This window comes from Homo sapiens, chromosome 19 (assembly GCF_000001405.40).
Source record: "Homo sapiens chromosome 19, GRCh38.p14 Primary Assembly".
Taxonomy (NCBI): Eukaryota; Metazoa; Chordata; class Mammalia; order Primates; family Hominidae; genus Homo; species Homo sapiens.
In genome coordinates this window covers 38475075-38492722 of record NC_000019.10, presented here as the reverse complement: position 1 = coordinate 38492722, position 17648 = coordinate 38475075, and the positions used below count along the sequence as shown (strand labels likewise).

Sequence of the window (17648 nt, the reverse complement as noted above, 5' to 3'; positions counted from 1 at the left end):
CATGCCCTCTTTGGGACCCAGAGGCTCCGCAGGCATGGGGCTACCCACCCCACCCCTGCCCTCTCCCCAGTGACCCCAGTCCTCACGGGGTTTGCTCTCCTCTGCTGACCGCTCCTCCTCAGGTTTCTCTTCCTTCTTCTTCACCAGCCGCACTTTCTCCAACAGGCTCATGAGGCGGCTGCCCAGGGTGGTCTCTTCCTCTGGTTCCTCCTCCTCTCCATCTAGCTGAATTCCTGGAAGTGGTCAAGAAGGCGGGAAATGTCATTCATTAGTTTGCTTATTCACCTGCTTACACACTCATTTATTTGTGCATATGTGCATGCATGCATGGAGTTTTTCATTTCCTTTTTTTTTTTTTTTTTGAGACAGTGTCTTGTTCTGTTGCAGTGGAGAGCAGTAGCATGATGTCAACTCACTGCAACCTCTGCCTCCTAGGCTCAAGCCATCCTCCTACCTCAGCCTCCTGAGTAGCTGGGACTACAGGTGTATGCCACCATGCCCTGTTAATTTTGTATCTTTTTCTGTAGAGATGGGGGTCTTGCCATGTTGCCCAGGCTGGTTTTGAACTCCTGAGCTCAAGCAATCCACCCACCTCAGCCTCCCAAAATGCCGGGATTGCAGGCATGAGCCACCACCCCTGGCCTCATTTATTTCTTTGTATGTTCATGTATTTGTTCATTTATTCATTCTATCAAACATTTATCTTTTAAATCAATTTTGCAAATATGTTCAAAGAACTAAAGGAAACCATGTCTGAAGAATTAAAAGGAAATATCATAATAGTGACTTATCCAGTAGTGAATACTAATAAAAAGGCAGACTGTTAAAATATAGAAATTCTGGAGTTGAAAAATAAAATAACTGAAATAAAAAATTATTAGGGGGGTTCAACAGCATATTTGAGCTGATAGGAGAAACAGTCAGTGAACTTGAAGATAGGACATAGAGATTGTCTAGCCTGAAGAACAGAAAAGTAAAAGAATGAAGAAAAATGGGCCAGGTGCAGTGGCTCACACCTGTAATCCAGCACTTTGGGAGGCCCAGGCATGCAAATTGCTTGAGCCCAGGAGTTCAAGACCAGCCTGGGCAATATGGCAAAACCCCGACTCTATAAAAAAATTAAAAAATTAGCCAGGCGTGGTGGCACACACCTGTTCTCCCAGCTACTTTGGAGGCTGAGGTAGGAGGATGGCTTGAGCCCAGGAGGCAGAGGATGCAGTGAGCTAAGATTGTGCCCCTGCACTCCTGCTGGGTGACAGAGTGAGACCGTCTCAAAAAAAAAAAAAAAGCAAAATGAAAGAAATCCTCAGAGACCTGTGGGATGCCATCAAGTGTACCAATATATGCATAATGAGAGTCCCAGAGGAAGAGGAAAGGGGCAGAAAAGTATTTGAATAAATAATTGTCAAAAATATTCCAACTTTGATAAAAAGTAAGTATATATCCAAGAAACTCAACAAACTTTCAACAGGATAAATTCAAAGAGCTCTACACCTAGACACGTCATACTAAATTGTTGAAAGGCAAAGACAAAGAGAAAATCTTAAAAGTCAGCCAAGGAAAAATAATTCATCATGTGCAAGGGAATCTCAGTAAGACTATCAGCAGACTTCTCATCAGAAACTATGGAGGTCATCCATCTGTCCTTCCACCCAGCCAGCCATCTCTCCACCCAGTTCTCAACCATCCATCCATCCTTCTCTTCATCCTTCCATCTATCCAGCCAGCCATTTTTTACCCACTTCTTCTATCCATCAATTCACATACCCATTCATTTATCTGGCTTATAGCCATCCACCCAAATACCCATATAAACACGCATTGTCTAACTGTTCACTAACACATTCATTCACTCACTCATTCATTCATTCAACCAATAGTTACATAGCACCGATACTGTAGAGGGTTGTCAGGAAATCTTAGGGAAACTTCTGGAGAGGTCTCGAGAGAAAGTTAGCATGGGGAGGACTCTCTGATCCCCACTCCTTACCACAGTGTGCCAGCAGGTCTTGATGAAAGTCAAGCAAATCCTGTCGAATCTCTTCAGGGAGAGGACAGTCTTCCTCATCTGTACCATCTTTGAATTGCAATAGCATATTGATCTAGGGGAAGGTCAAAGATTAGAATGAGGGTCTGAGATCCCAAAGCAGGAACTCTGAGATCAGAGATAGAAGATGCAATTGTTAGTCCATGTCTAAGGTCATGAGTCGAAGTGTGAGTTAATGAAGACTATTTGGGAGACTAGGGCCAGAGGTTTGAAAAGAGTCAGCATCAGTCTGAGGTGACTCAGAGGTCAGGTTGATTCAGAGAGTAGGAGATAAATGTATCACTAGGGTCAGGGGTCAAGCACGGGTTTAGAGGTTGAGGGTCCTCAGTGATCAGAGTCAGGAGATGTTGAGGTTGGGGTTTAGACAGTAAAAGTGGCCAGCGTCAGGGGTCAGATGACCTGTTCCTGGGGTGGGGAGCGGAACTCGCGGGTACGTCTTGCAGTCTCTGCTGCGGTCATGCTGAAGGCTTTTATGAGGAGGCCATAGCGGCTCCGCTGGTTGGCCTGGAGCTTGTCCACATAGCGCTCCGCAAAGGCTGCCAGGGACTCCACACGGTGCTGCAGCTCTTGGTCACAGAAATACTCCAGCAGGTGGCACATCTGTGGAAGGACAGCCGTGTGGGAGGAGAGATGGAGGTGAGACCATCAGGACTTCCTTGAAACTTCTCTTGCTTCCTCTCCCCTCTCCATGGCCCTGCCCAGGTCCAGCCAAAATCATTTCCCGCCTGGAACCTTAAGCCTGCCTTCCTCAAGCATGGTGGCTCATGCCTGTAATCCCAGCATTTTGGGAGGCCGAGGTGGGTGGATCACCTGAAGTCAGGAGTTCAAGACCAGCCTGGCCAACATGGCGAAACCCCATCTCTACTAAAAATACAAAAAATTAGCTGGGCGTGGTGGCACATGCCTGTGATCCCAGCTACTCAGGAGGCTGAGGCAGGAGAATTGCTTGAACCCGGGAGGCGGAGGTTACAGTGAGCCGAGATCGCACCACTGTATTCCAGCCTGGGTGACAGAGCAAAATTCTGTCGCAAAAAACAAACAAAAAAGACTGCCTTCTCCATGGTCTCATCTCCATGGAAAACAGAGATCTTTCCAAGTTGGCATTGCTCACTGCCATATGCATTTCCACAGCTCCCCACTGCCTGAGGACGAAGTCCAGACTCACATCCCACCTACCCTGTGTCTCCCAGCCCAGATGGACAGAGGCCGAAAAGCAGGAAGCAGCAGCCCACCTGTAACTTCACAGACTCTGGCAACTTCATCTGGAGCAGCCCTTCCTCCAAGCCTTCTTCTTTCTCCCCTTCTGCTGCCTCCTCTTCCTCTTTTTCCTCATCTTCCTTTTCCTGTGCTGTTTCCTCCTCATCCTCCTCCTTCTCCTCCTCATCTTCCTCTTCACCCTCTTCCTCCTCGTCCTCCTCCTCTTCTTCCTCAGTGAAGACCTCAGGCTCAATCATCTTCAAGATCTGTTTCACATCCTCATCGCCAAAGATGCCCATCACCTACAGGACAAAGTCTCGGTTCTTCACTGTGGCCTGCAAGGCCTCCATCATCAGGCCCTGGCCTCATTCTCCAGACCTGCCCCTCATGCACATGCCAATCATTCCTGCATTGGCTGATCCGATTCCTCCCACAGCAGGAATGGCATCCCCCGCCTTGCCATCCACCCTCCTTAAGATCCACCCAGGTCCACACCCTGTGTCCCACCCACACAGCCCAGACCACAGACCCAAATATGAGTGCCTCTCCCATCACAGGCGAGTGTCCTTTCTCCCAAGCCTAAGCATGTGCTGTGTCCTCTGGCCCAGGACACACCCTACGCCTGCATAGCTCCCAGCATACACCAGCTCTCAGTCAACATAATGAAGATGCTAACACATGAGGCGAGGCTCACACCTGTAATCCCAGCACTTTGGGAGACCAAGGCGGGCAGATCACTTGAGGCCAGGAGTTCGAGACCAGCCTGGCCAACATGGTGAAACCCCGTCTCTACAAAAATACAAAAAAAAATTAGCTGGGTGTGGTGGTGCACGCCTGTATTCCCAGCTACTCAGGAGGCTGAGGCAAGAGAATCACTTGAATCTGGGAGGCAGAGGTTGCAGGGAGCTGATATTATGCCACTGCACTCCAGCCTGCATGACAGACGGAGAGTCTGTCTCAAAAACAAAATAAATTAAAGTTTAAAAGATGCTAACATATGGAAGTAAAGAGGGAGTAGACGAAAGGGAAGAAGAGTGCAGGGGAGAGAGAGAGATGGATGAATGGAGGGAGGATTGGATGGCTGGCTGGATGAATCCCGAGTCGGAATGGTAGAGGTTTGAAGGAAAGATGAATAAGTGGATGATGATGGAGAGATGAAGGAAATGATGGAGGAAGAGATGATGGGTGGATGGATGAGAGAAGGATAAATGATGTATAGGTAGGTGAGTAGGTGATGGATGGGTTGATAGATGCATGAGGAAGTAAATGAATATGTGGATAAATAGATAAATTAGTGAATAGCCATGAGGGTGGGGGGATGGTTGGCCACATGGCTGGATAGGTTTGTGTATGAAAAGTTGGGGCCAGGTGTGGTGGCTCACACCTGTAATCACAGTACTTCGGGAGGCTGAGGCAAGATGACCACTTGAACCCAGGAGTTTAAGACTGCAGTGGGCTACAATCATACCACTGCATTCTAGCCTGGGCATTACCCTGTCTCTTACAAAATAAAATTAAATTAAAAATAATAAATAAAAACAAAATTAGGTTGAGCAGAGCGTCTCATGCCTGTAATCCTAACACTGGGAGGCCAAGGTGGGAGAATTGCTTGAGCCCAGGAGTTCAAGACCAGCTTGGGCAAAATAGCGAGACTCCACCTCTACAAAAAATTTAAAACTTACCTGGGCATGGTAGTGCACACCTGTAGTCCCAGCTATTCAGGAGGCTGAGGCAGAAGGATTGCTGAAGCCCAGGAGGTTGAGGCTACAGTGAGCCATTATTGTGCCATTGCACTCCAGCCTGGGTGACAGAGCGAGACCCTGTCTTGCCTGGACACGGTGGCTCACGCCTATAGTTCCAGCACTTTGGGAGGACGAGGTGGGCAGATCACAAAGTCAGGAGTTCAAGACCAGCCTGGTCAACATGGTGAAACCCCATCTCTATTAAAAATACAAAAATTAGCCGGGCATGGTGGCGGGCACCTGTAATCCCATCTACTTGGGAGGCTGAGGCAGAAGAATCTCTTGAACATGGGAAGCGGAGGTTGCAGTGATTTGAGATTGCTCCACTGCACTCTTCAGCCTGGGTGACAGAGCAAGACTTTGTCTCAAAACAAACAAACACACAAACAAAACCAAAAAGATGGATATATAAATGAATAGTTAGATGGGTCTACGAATAAAAGGGTACATGATACAAGGGATGGAGAGAAGGATAGGGAACGGGTAGATGGATGGGTGTGGATGGCTAAATGGATTTGTGGGTAGGTGGATGGGTGTACGTACATATGAATGGAGAGATGGATGGATGGATGAAGGGTAGGTGGGAACTGGAGGAACGGATGGATCTGTGGATGTAGGTATGGATGGACGCATAGGTGGGAGGAGATGATTATTGGACCTACGGAAGGAAAGATAGATTAATACATAAATGGGTAGGTGGATAGATGAACAGATGGAATGGTAGATGGACTGCTGTATGAATGAATGAAAAGATGGATGGGCAAATAGATTGAAACTTGGATAGATGGGTACATGAATGAATGAATGGAGTGGGTGGAGAACAAAAGGATAGAAAGGCAGATGGAAAGATGTTGATGGAAAGATCTTGTTGATGGAAAGATGATCTATACACATGAATGGATAGGATGAATGGGTGGATGGAAAGGCTGGTGGAGGACTGATGGATTGATGGATGGATGAATGATGGTTGGTTGGATAGATGAATAGGAAGAAAGAAGAGATGAATAAACATAAAGAGATGACAGGTGAGCAGATGGAGGGAAAGGTGAATGAAAGATAGGGAGATGGTGGGAGGATACATAGAAAGGTGGATGGAGGCCGGACGCGGTGGCTCACGCCTGTAATCCCAGCACTTTGGGAGGCCAAGGTGGGCAGATCAGGAGGTCAGGAGTTTGAGACCAGCCTGGCCAACATGGTGAAAGCAGTCTCTACTGAAAATACAAATATTAGCGGGGCGTGGTGGCACATGCCTGTAGTCCCCGCTACTCGGGGGGCTGAGGCAGGAGAATTGCTTGAACCTGGGAGGCGGAGGTTGCAGTGAGCTGAGATTGCGCCACTGCACTCCAGCCTGGGCGACAGTGAGACTCCGTCTCGAAAAAATAATAATAATAAAAAGAAAGGTGGATGGATGTATAGAGGAGGGAATGAATGGGTGGTTGGATGCATAAATAGAGGAGGATTGATGCATGTATCTCTGGAGTTTTGGGAATGTGGGAGAAGAATGGGACAGAGGAAAGCAGGAGGAAGCCATTACCAGCAGGGTGGACACGAGCTTGAGCACAGGCACAAACTGGAACTCCACGGAGCCCCCGACGGGGTCGCGAGCGTGCTGCCCACCGTCGCGCACCGCCTCCCCCAGCATCCTCAGTGCCTTGTCCCGCAGGGCCTCCAGCGGGATGGCAGGGCTGAGGCGGGCCGGGGCCTCTGCTGCCCCAGCAGCTGGCAGAGCGGCCACGAAACAGGGGGGCGAGAAATGATGCGGGGGCCTCAGCGAAGTGGTGACTCCAACTCCCGGCAGGCCATGCCGGGGGTGACCATTTTCTGTGCTCCTTCCAGGAGGGAAGAGCGTGATGGCGCGGGTCTCAGGCGTGAGGGGCACGATGTATTCAGAGAGCATGGAGCGGCGGCTGCGGCAGGCACTTTCGAGGTGGATGCTGATGAGGAGGTCATAGTAGCCTGCGCGCAGTGGGCCTGGCAGGTGCGCGTCCTCCAGGGCGTGCAGCAGCTGAGCTTGGTCTACGTGGCTGCACAGAGCGTGCGCCACGCGATTGTTGCCCAGGGCGCACACAGCGCGGTAGAGGCGCAGGGTGTGCGAGTGGAAGCGCTGCAGGTCCAGGCGCTCCGACAGCTCCAGGATGTCCATGCACCTGCAGCAGAGGTGGGAAACAGACAGGGACAGATGAATGAGCCTCCTGCATCAGTCAAGCCACCATCTCTTCCTCCATTTCCTTCATCACTATCCACCCATTTATTCATTCGTCTTTCCTTCAAACCCCTACCATTCCATCTATCAATTCACCCATCCTGGGAGAAGATGGGAGACAGAGGCACAGACCCCAGAAAGGCAGAGATGCTTAGACGAGTGTCGAAGGCTGCAGCAGGGAGTTCCAGTGGCCTCCTAGCTTAGGGTTCTGTGAGGGCAGTGGAGCTGGGTCTAGGAGTCTTTCAATGGTTCTGGAAGTCCCTAAGGGATCTGGGGGCCCCTGGGATACCTCTGGGGTCCCTGGGATGGTCTGGGACTTCGTAAGAGTCTGAGAGTCCATGTAGAACATCTGATGTTTCCAAGATGTGTTTGGGCCCCCAGACTGGGTCCCCCTCTGGCAGGTCTGAGTATACTAGTTGTGTTTGAGTGCCATTAGAATGTAAATTCCAAGGGCAGGACATTTCTGCCTGTTTTGTTTCTGCTTTTGTTTGTTATATTCCCAGCACCTAAAACCACACCTAGCACATAGTAAAGTGCTTAGCATTTGTTGTTGTTGTTGTTTAGTGATGGGGTCTTGCTCTGTTGCCCAGGCTAGAGTGCAGTGGTGCGATCCTAGCTCTGCAGCCTTGAACTCCTGGGCTTAAGCAATCCTCCTGCCTCAGCCTCCCAAGTAGCTGAGACTACATGTGTGTGCCACCAAGCCAAGCTAATTAAAAAGAAAAAAAAAATGTGGAGACGGGTTCTCACTGTGCTTCCTGGTGGTTTCAAACCCCTGGCCTCAAGCAACCCTCCCTCCTCCTCAGCCTCCTGAAGTGCTTAGATTACAAACATGAGCCACTGTACCCATAAATATTTGTTGAATGAATAAATTAATAAACGGGTGTGTCTGGGGCCCTGGGGATGACCCTGGGTCCCTTTGGGCATGTCCGAGCATCCTGAGTTATGTACAAGCATTACTAGAATGTCACTTCACAGGGGCTTGGTGTCTCCAGCCTGGAATACTACCTAGCACATAGGAGGGACCCAAAGCTATTTGTTGAATGGATGAATGAATAAAGGAAGGAAGTGAGGGAGGGAGAGAGGAAGGAAGGAAGGGAGGGAGGGAGGGAGAGGGGAAGGAAGGAAGGAAGGGAAGGAGAGAGGGAAGGAGGGAGGAAGGAAGGAAGGAAAGAAAGAAAGAGGCATGTCAGAAGCCTCCTGGGTGAGTCTGGGATTCCTCCCACGTTCAGAATTCTATTTTTTGAGATGGCATCTTGCTCTGTTGCCCAGGCTGGAGTGCAGTGGCGTGATCCTAGCTCAATGCAACCTCCGCCTCCTGGGTTTAAGCAATTCTCATGCCTCAGCCTCCCGAGTAGCTGGGACGATGGGTGCACACCACCACAACTGGCTAATTTTTGTATTTTTAGTAGAGACTCCTGACCTCAGGTGACCTGCCTGCCTCAGCCTCCCAACGTGCTGGGATTACAGGTGTGAGGCACTGTGCCTGGCCACGTTCAGAGTTCTTAAGAGTAACCCTGCCATCCATGTGAACGCATCTGTGGCCCTAGGTGTGTCTGGGTCCCCTGGGGTGGGTTTGAAATATCCACGGGATTCTTCTTAAAGCCTCCCTGCATATGCCCAAGAGACTCTAGGGTGCATCCAAGCCTCCCTGAATCATGTCCAGGGATCCTGGGGTGTACTTGGGGCCCCCTGGGGTGTTGATGTGGGTCTGGCTCCCTGAGATGGGTTTGGGGCCCTGTGGAGTGGGTCTGGGTCCTTGGGGTATTGTCTGGGTTCCCTTAGGGTGGGCCTGCGGTCCACTGGGATGGTGTAGAGCCTCCTGCGTTGAGTCTGAATCCCCCTGGGACATAATCTGGGGATGTCTGAGCTGAGCCCGAGTCCCCTGAGGTAGGTCTGGAGATTCCTGGGGTGTAGTCTGGAATCCCGGGGTTGTGTTGAGGAGGGGCACTGAGTGGGACCCAGACCCCAGAGGGCTTGCAACACCTGCCCACCCCTGCATAGCTGGGCTGGCCCTGACCGGTTCTCCTCGGGGATGTGCAGCGCCATCATGGTCAGCGGCTCCTGGCACTGCACGGCCCAGCCCAGCCGCTCGCCGGCACGCCTCGTCTCCACCTGCAGGAAGTGGTTGGGCATGCGGCTCCAGGACACTGGCATCAGCATCTGCATCTCCAGCCGCGGTGGGCACTGCGGGGCCGGGTTCTTGCGCTCGCTTTGGAACATGGCGGCTGACAACGGCATGATGTTCTGAGGGCAGAGAGACACACATGGGTCAAGATGGCCAGCCCCCTCTGTCCCACCACACCACTTCCAGGGAGACCTCTTGGATTGCCCCCTCCCCTTCAGTGGCTCTGCCCGCCTGGCCTCCCCACATCTCCTGCCTCAGCCTGGCCCCATTAGTGCCCCCATCACTGCACTTGTACCTTCTGCTTCCCCAGCTCAAACTGGATGACGTTCTGGTGGGTGGGCAGGACGAAGACGGCAGGAAATAGCTTAGTGTTGGGTTCCACCTGGCAGAGGAGAAGAGGACGAGGTGAGCAAACGGGTGGGCTGGAGGGAGGGTTGACTCTGGACCTCAAACTCTGGGGCCAATTTGTAGGTCCTCATCTGGGCGTTAGAGGCTCCAAAATGGCTCAGAGGTCACCCTTAGACTGTCCCACCTCTGATCCAGCCAGGCCAACCTCCTCCAACTTTCCCAGAGCAACCTGTCATCTGTCTCTGCACACATCACACCCCGCACTGGGAATGCCCTTCGCATTTCTCTCCCAAGCATACTCATTCAAAACCCAGAGAGTGTGATGGCTCACACCTGTAATCCTAGAACTTTGGGAGGCTGAAGTGGGAGGGTCACCTGAGCCTAAGAGTTCAAGAGCAGCCTGGGCAACGTAGTGAGACCCCATCTCTACAAAACATAAAAAATTAGCGAGGCATGGCGGTCCATATCTGTAGTTGCAGCTACTCAGGAGGCTAAGATGAGAGAATCGCTTGATCCTGGGAGGTCGAGGCTGCAGTGAGCCATGATTGCACCACCGCACTTCAGCCTGGGTGACAGAACAAGACCCTATCTCAAAACAAAAAATTCCAGGAAGTGTCCTCAGACTGTCTTGCCCCTCTCCCGTCTTCCCAGTGGAGCCCATCCAGCCAGCCTCTGCCTCCACAAACAACATTGTCTCTGAAGCAGTCCCGCCCACACCAAACCTGATCTAATTGCACCCTGGGACCCAACTCCCAGTTTACAGGAAATATGGGGGACAAAGGAAAATGTTAAAAAGCCACCACAGGAATGCACCAGCCAGATCCAGGCTATGGGAAACCAGGCCAGCCCTCTCCAGATTTAATATACACAGGAAGCCCCTGGGATCCTGTCAAAATACAGATTCTGATTTGGCAGGCATGGGAAGGGGTCTGAGACTCTGGGTTTATTTAATTTTGTTTATTTATTTTTTTGAGATGACGTCTCACTCTGTCATCCAGGCTAGAGAGTGCAGTGGCATCATCTCGGCTCACTGCAAACTCCACCTCCCACGTTCAAGCGATTCTCCTGTCTCAGCCTCCCAAGTAGCTGGGATTACAGGCGCCCGTCACCACGCCAGGCTAATTTTTGTATTTTTAGTAGAGATGGGGTTTCACCATGTTGGTCAGGCTGGTCTCGAACTCCTGACCTTAGGTGATCTGCCCAACTCGGCCTCCCAAAGTGCTGGGATTACAGGTGTGAGCCACCACGCCCGGCCCATTTTAACTTTTTTAAAAAGAAGCAGTGTCTCGCTCTGCCACCCAGGCTGGAGTGCAGTGGCGCTATCATAGCTCACTACAACCTCTGCCTCCCAGACTCAGGTGATCCTCCTGCCTCAGCCTCCAGGGTAGCTGGAACTGCAGGTGCCCATGACTAGACCCAGCTAAAGATCCTGCAGCTCTCCTGCTGGTTGGTCCAGGGACCACACTTTGAGGAGCAAAGTGCCACAGGACAAATAGCCTGGTTCCTTCAACAAATACATTTCTGGGGGGTTGGGAAAGAAGAAGGAATGGAGGGGGAAATCTACATATGAAATGAAACTCAAGGTACAGAGCAACCACCTAAAATATATGACCCTGGTCGAGCGTGGTGGTGCACACCTGTAATCCCAGCACGTTTTATATTCTGGGATTACATGGGAGGTGGAGGTGGGCGAATAGTTTGAGGTCAGGAGTTCAAGACTGGCCTGGGCAACATGGCAAAACACCGTCTCTACAAAAAATACAAAAATTAGCCAGGTGTGGTAGTGCGTGTCTGTGGTCCCAGCCACTTGGGAGGCTGAGGTGGGAGGATCGTTTGATCCCAGGAGGTTGAGGCTGCAGTAAGCCAAGATTGCACCACTGTGCACCAGCCTGGGTGACAGAATGAGACCCTGTCTTAATAAATTAAAATAAATAAATAAATAAGGTTGAGTACGGTTGGCACCACTGCGCACCAGCCTGGGTGACAGAGCAAGACTCTGTCTTAATAAATTAAAATAAATAATTAAATAAATAAGGTTGAGCATGCTGCCTCACACTGTAATCCCAGCACTTTGGGAGGCCAAGGCAGGAGGGTCACTTGAGCCCAGGAGTTCAAGACCAGGCTGGGCAATATAGCCAGACCCCGTCTCTACTAAAAATACAAAAATTAGCTGGGTGTGGTGGCGCACACCTGTAATCTCACATACTTAGGAGGCTTGAGCCCGGGAGGCGAAGGTTGCAGTGAGCCAAGACCATGCCACTGCACTCCAGACTGGGTGACAGAGTGAGACATTGTCTCAAAAAATAAAATAAAAATAAATAATAAATAAAATAAAATATATGACCCTACTTAGATTCTGATTCAAACAAAGAAATGGTAAAATGACATTTTGGGGACAACCAGAGAAATCTGAACACAAACTGGATATTTGATGATATTTAGAAACTATTGTTTTTTTTTCTTTTAGGTGATAGTGGTATTGTGGTTATGCTCTTTAAGATCATCCTTATCTTTTAAAGCTACACACTGAAAACAGAGGAAACTATCTGATGTCTGCAATTTCCTTCAAAATTATCCAGTGGGTGTGGAAGGGAAGTAGATATAAAAAGATGAAACAAGCCAGGCGCAGTGGCTTATACCTGTCATCCCATCACTTTGGGAGGCTGAGGCAGGAGGATTGCTTGAGCCCAAGAGTTTGAGACCAGCCTGGGCAACATAGCAAGATCCTGTCTCCACTAAAACTAAAAAAAATTAGCCAGGCATGGTGGTGCATACCTGTAGTCCCAGCTACTCAGGAGGCTGAGGTGGGAGGATCACTTGAACCTGGGAGGCAGAGGTTGCAATGAGTCGAGATTGCGCCACTGCACTCCAGCCTGGGTGACAGAGGGAGACCCTCTCTCAAAAAACAAACAGACAAAAAAGATGAAACAAGATTGGCTGTGAGTGGGTGACAGTTGAAGCTGTGTGACAGGGGCATGGCAGTTCATTATACTATTCCATTCTTGTATACGTTTTTAATTCTCCATTTAACATAAAGCTTTAGCCAGGAGCAGTGGCTCACGCCTGCAATCCCAGCACTTTGGGAGGCTGAGGCAGAAGGATTGCTTGAGACCAGGAGTTTGAGACCAGCCTGGGCAACATAGTGAGACCCCGTCTGCACAATAAATACAAAAAAAATTAGCTGGGCATGGTGGCACGTGCCTGTGTTCTCAACTATTCAAGAGGCTGAAGTGGGAGGATCGCTTGAGTCCAGGAAGGTTGTGGCTGCAGTGAGCTGTGATCTCACCATGGCACTCCAGCCTGGGTAACAGAGCGAAACCCTGTCTCAAAAAATAAAAATAAAAAATAAGCCAGGCACAGTGACTCAAGCCTGTAATCCCAGCATTTTGGGAGGCCAAGGTGGGGAGATCGCTTGAGCCCAGAAGCGAGAGACCAGCCTGGACAATATGAGGAAAACCCATCTCTACAAACAATACACACAAAAAATCAGCTAGTCAAGGTGGTGCATGCCTATAGTCCCAGCTACTTAGGAAGCTGAGACAGAAGGATTGCTTGAGCCTGGGAAGTTGAGGCTGCAGTCAGCTGTGATCACACCACTGCACTCCAGCCTGGGGGACAGAGTGAGGCCCTGTCTCAAAATAAAGAAAATAAAATGCAATAAAATTTCATAACCAACAATGGATGCCAAAAAATTAAAATAAAGTTGTACAAACCCACCTTAGATTAATGGACAGGTAGGTGAATATGTGATAAAGCCAATATCTACAACATTGATAGTAGATTCCAGGTGGTGGGTACAGGGTGTTATCTACATAGCTCCTTCAATTTTGCTGTATGATTGAAATTTTTCAGAATAAAATGTTGAAAAGGAAAAGGCCACCTTAGGATTCTGGCCCATCCTAGCGTGTTCCCTGGTTGGAGAGAAGTTGGTGACTGGTGTCACCCAGCTCAAGAGGGAACAGAAACCTCTTTCCAAGGTCAAGGCTGGACTCTGGCTGGGTGTGGTGGCTCACGCCTGTAATCCCAGCACTTTGGGAGGCCGAGGTGGGTGGACCACTTGAGGTCAGGAATTTGAGACCAGCCTGGCCAACACAGTGAAACCTCGTCTCTACTAAAAACATAAAACTTAGCCGGCTGTTGTGGTGCTCGCCTGTAATCCCAGCTACTCAGGAGGCTGAGGCAGGAGAATCCCTCTAACCCAGGAGGCGAAGGTTGCAGTGAGCCAAGATCGTCCCATTGCACTCCAGTCTGGGCAACAGAGTGAGATTCTGTATCTCCTCCAGTCTGGGCCTTAGTTTCATGGAAGTTTCAACAAGGTGGTCTCCCAGCGACCTCTTGAGGACAGCCTAGGAGCTGTTTTTGTTCCATCTCTGAGGTCTGGCCTCAGGGGACATCTATAAGAGCTGTCCTGGGATGCTGGGACATGATGCTCTCGCTAAATTGCTGTGGCCTGGACTCACCTGGAAAAAGGTGTTGCTCTCTTTGCCATTGGCTGTAAAGGTCATTAAGCCAGTGGCCAAGTCCACCAGGCACCCAATGACAAGGTCCGTGTGGCTGATCCGGCCCTGCTGCCCGGGACTCACAAAGTCTCCGCCCCACACCATGTAGCAGTTGCTACACTTGAGGCTGCAGGAGACAGAAGCGGTCACTGCACTCCTCATGTGAGTAGCTCTGGACCCTGGACACCCCCTTCCCCAAGCTCCCGGAAACACACAACCTCAGAGTCCCATCCCCAAACACCCACCGCCTGCAGACCTGAGAGCTGAAACCCCTCGCCCCGGACACTGAGCTCTTCGGAGCTGGGATTCCTAGCAGCTGGCGCAGTGGGGAGTCAGGATGGGGGTGGGGGTCTGAAAGGAGGGAAAGCAAGGGAAGCAGGAGGAGAGAGAATGAGATGACAGAGAAGGAGAAGGGTGAGATGAAACAGGATGAGAAGGAAAAGGAGAAAATGGAATAGGAGAAATGCATAAAGAGGAGGAGGAGGAGAAGAAAAATACCAGGGCAGGAAGAGAGGAGGAAAAAGAGGAGGAGGGAAGCTTCCGAGCTGGGTGCCCAGTGCCCCAGAGAATCCTCCCGCTCCAGAAAGTTCCTAGGTCCCACAACCAGGCAGCCACAGAGCTGGTGTCGGGAGCTCTGACTGCCTCCTGCCCTCCCCACCCTGCACCTCCCACCTCCCCCCAGCCCCGGCACCTGCTGTGGACGTTGCCTTGTTCATCCCCCATGGTCACCGTCACGACCCGGACCTTGCTGAGGTCGAAGCTCATGTCGTGCTGATGGTAGTCAGGGGTGACCCAGCCCGCCCACACGCAGCTGGGCTCCTGTCCAGCAAAGACCCTCACGGAGTAATAGTACTGGTGACACAAGGAGGGGAACTAGTGGTCAGTCTGGAAGTCAGGGACTCGGGCTCCCTGGGACTCGAAATTGGTTTCCCTGGACTGTTGGGTCCTCTGGGAGTTTAACAGGAAGTTGTTGGATCTGAGTCCCCCACCCCCTGGTTATGTCTGTTTCTGTGTCAATTTGTGCAATTCTAGATTTAGGAGTCCCTTGGGAATATTGTGTGACAGTGCCATATTTGGGTTCCTCCCAGGTTACAGTAGACTGACAAATAAATAATTGCAGGCCAGGCATGGTGGCTCACGCCTGTAATCCCAGCACTTTGGGAAGCTGAGGAAGGTGGATCACCTGAGGTCAGGAGTTTGAGACCAGCCTGACCAATATGGTGAAACTCTGTCTCTACTAAAAGTACAAAAATTAGCCGGGCATGGTGGTGGGCGCCTGTAGTCCCAGGTACTCGGGAGGCTGAGGCAGGAGAATCGCTTGAACCTGGGAGGCAGAGGTTGCAGTGAGCCGAGATCGTGCCACTGCACTCCAGCCTGGGTGACAGAGTGAGACTCCATCTCAAAATAAAAAAATACAAAAAATAATTAAATAATTGCTCACAAATAGCACTGACTGTGCTAAGGTCTTTTTTTTCTTTCCTTCTTCTTCTTCTTTTTTTTCTTTCCTTATTTTTTTATTTTTATTTTTTTTGAGTTGCAGTCTCCCTCTGTCATCCAGGCTGGAGTGCAGAGGCACCATCGTAGCCTGCAGCCTCAAATTCCTGGATTGAAGTGATCCTCTCACCTTGGCCTCCCAACGTTCTGGGACTACGGGTGTGAGCCATCATGCCAGGCCTGTTCTAAGGTCTACACAGATTAACTCACTTCATCCTCCATATCAGGTAGGTATAATTTTTACCCCCATTCTACTGATGGAAAACCATAGCACCTCCATAGGAGAGAAGGCATAGAGTGGTGAAATGACTTTTGCCCAAGTGGCACCCAGTCGGCCCATGATCTAATCTCGAGGCCAGGGATCCCCAACCCCAGGCTGTGGGCTGGTACTGGGATCCAAGCCACCTAGGGTGAGTACTCCTTGTAAGAATCTACAGCCGAACGCGGTGGCTCACACCTGTAATCCCAGTACTTTGGGAGTCTGAGGCAGTAGGATCATTTGAGGTCGGGGATTTGAGACCAACCTGGCCAACATGGTGAAACCCCGTTTCTACCAAAAATACAAAAATTAGGCCAGGCACGGTGGCTCATGCCTGTAATCCCAGCACTTTGCGAGACCGAGGCGGGTAGACCACGAGGTCAGGAGTTTGAGACCAGCCTGGCCAATATGGTGAAACCCCGTTTCTACTAAAAACACAAAAATTAGCCGGGCATGGTGGCGTGTGCCCATAGTCCCAGCTACTTGGGAGGCTGAGGCAGAAGAATCACTTGAACCCGGGAGGCAGAGGTTGCAGTGAGCCGAGATCGCGCCACTGCACTCCAGCCTGGGCGACAGGCTGAGACTCCATCTCAAAAAAACAAAAAACAGAAAACAAAAATTAGCTGGGCATGGTGGCAGGAGCCTGTTATCCCAGCTGCTCAGGAGGCTGAGGCAGGAGAATCGTTTGAACCCAGGAGGCAGAGGTTTCAGTGAGCCAAGATCACACCACTGCACTCCAGACTGGGCAACAGAGCAAGACTCCATCTCAAAAATAAAAAGAAAAAAAAAAGGAATCTATGCCTGATGATCCGAGATGGAACATTTCATCCTGAAACCATCCTTCCCCGCATCCGTGGTCCACGGAAAAACTGTCTTCCACAAAATTGATCCCTGGTGCCAAAATAGTTGGGGAGCACTGCACTAGGCTGTCTGTCTATGAAATATTTTGGATTTGGGGAAATCCCAAAACTATATTAAGACAATTATGAATTTTTGTTCCCAGTAATATATTAGAGTAGGTATTACATTGAGGGTATTGTGTTTATATGAGTGAGCCCAAATGTTGGGGTCCCTAGTCTATATTGGCTTATATCATGGCTTTGGGGATCCCCAGGAGTTATATCAGTGTGCTGTACACCTCTACTGTACTCCCTGCCGTTTGTGGGCCATAGCTATATGGATTTAGGGGTTCAAAGGATTAAATCTGTGTGTGCCATATTTTATGAGTTTCTAGTGTATATTGGGGAGTCCCCAGTGTAAGGTGGGCAGCTACTGGGGACTGTCACACTAAACTTGGAAATTCAGGAGTGCCTATGCTATGCGGGGGGACCCCAAAATTGAGGGTTACTGGTCCACACCGTGGTGGTGTTGAGGATGATCTCGGGGTCATCGCGGTTGTCTGCAGGCACCACGTCGTGAGGGAGTCGGGGCAGCGTGGGGGTGGCCGGTGGCTGGGTCATCATGGCGACCTTCTTGGCCTTGAATAAGAAGCTGGTAGTGGGAGGAGAGGCGCCATGAGAGCCAGCTTTCAAGCCCAGCCCTCCCACCGCAATATTCATGCCCCCACATCCAGCTTGGATACACCCTGCTTCTAATACCCCAGGTCTTGCCTCTAGAGGGCTGGATTCCCACCTACCCCAGACTAATCCATTCTAGAAGTGCTATGCTCTGCGCTTGTGGATGCTGAGTTACCCAAATTAAAGGCGCCTTCTGGGAATATGGAGGTCCCCACTG

At 50.4% G+C, this 17648-nt stretch overlaps 1 protein-coding gene across 6 annotated transcripts in view, besides 1 other annotated feature; it reads right to left on the bottom strand.

Moving 5' to 3' along the window:
• The window catches only part of RYR1 (ryanodine receptor 1), a 153874-nt gene that overhangs the window by 94842 nt on the left and 41384 nt on the right, over nt 1-17648 (bottom strand). For all 6 annotated transcript variants that reach the window (NM_000540.3, XM_011527205.3, XM_006723317.3 and 3 more), the window contains exons 29-38: nt 17273-17405; nt 14853-15013; nt 14123-14288; nt 9610-9696; nt 9207-9433; nt 6521-7133; nt 3280-3546; nt 2447-2647; nt 1991-2102; nt 87-233 (exon numbers count right to left, since the gene is read on the bottom strand). In NM_000540.3, the coding sequence (NP_000531.2) occupies nt 87-233; nt 1991-2102; nt 2447-2647; nt 3280-3546; nt 6521-7133; nt 9207-9433; nt 9610-9696; nt 14123-14288; nt 14853-15013; nt 17273-17405 (2114 nt within the window). The remainder of the gene's footprint in view (nt 1-86; nt 234-1990; nt 2103-2446; nt 2648-3279; nt 3547-6520; nt 7134-9206; nt 9434-9609; nt 9697-14122; nt 14289-14852; nt 15014-17272; nt 17406-17648) is intronic.
• Nucleotides 13683-14026: a silencer, noted in NCBI's record as "fragment chr19:38969337-38969680 (GRCh37/hg19 assembly coordinates)". NCBI's record gives its function as "represses an EF-1alpha promoter that drives an FKBP-Casp9 reporter gene in an ReSE screen in K562 erythroleukemia cells {active_cell/tissue: K562}" and the evidence as "EXISTENCE:reporter gene assay evidence [ECO:0000049][PMID:32094911]".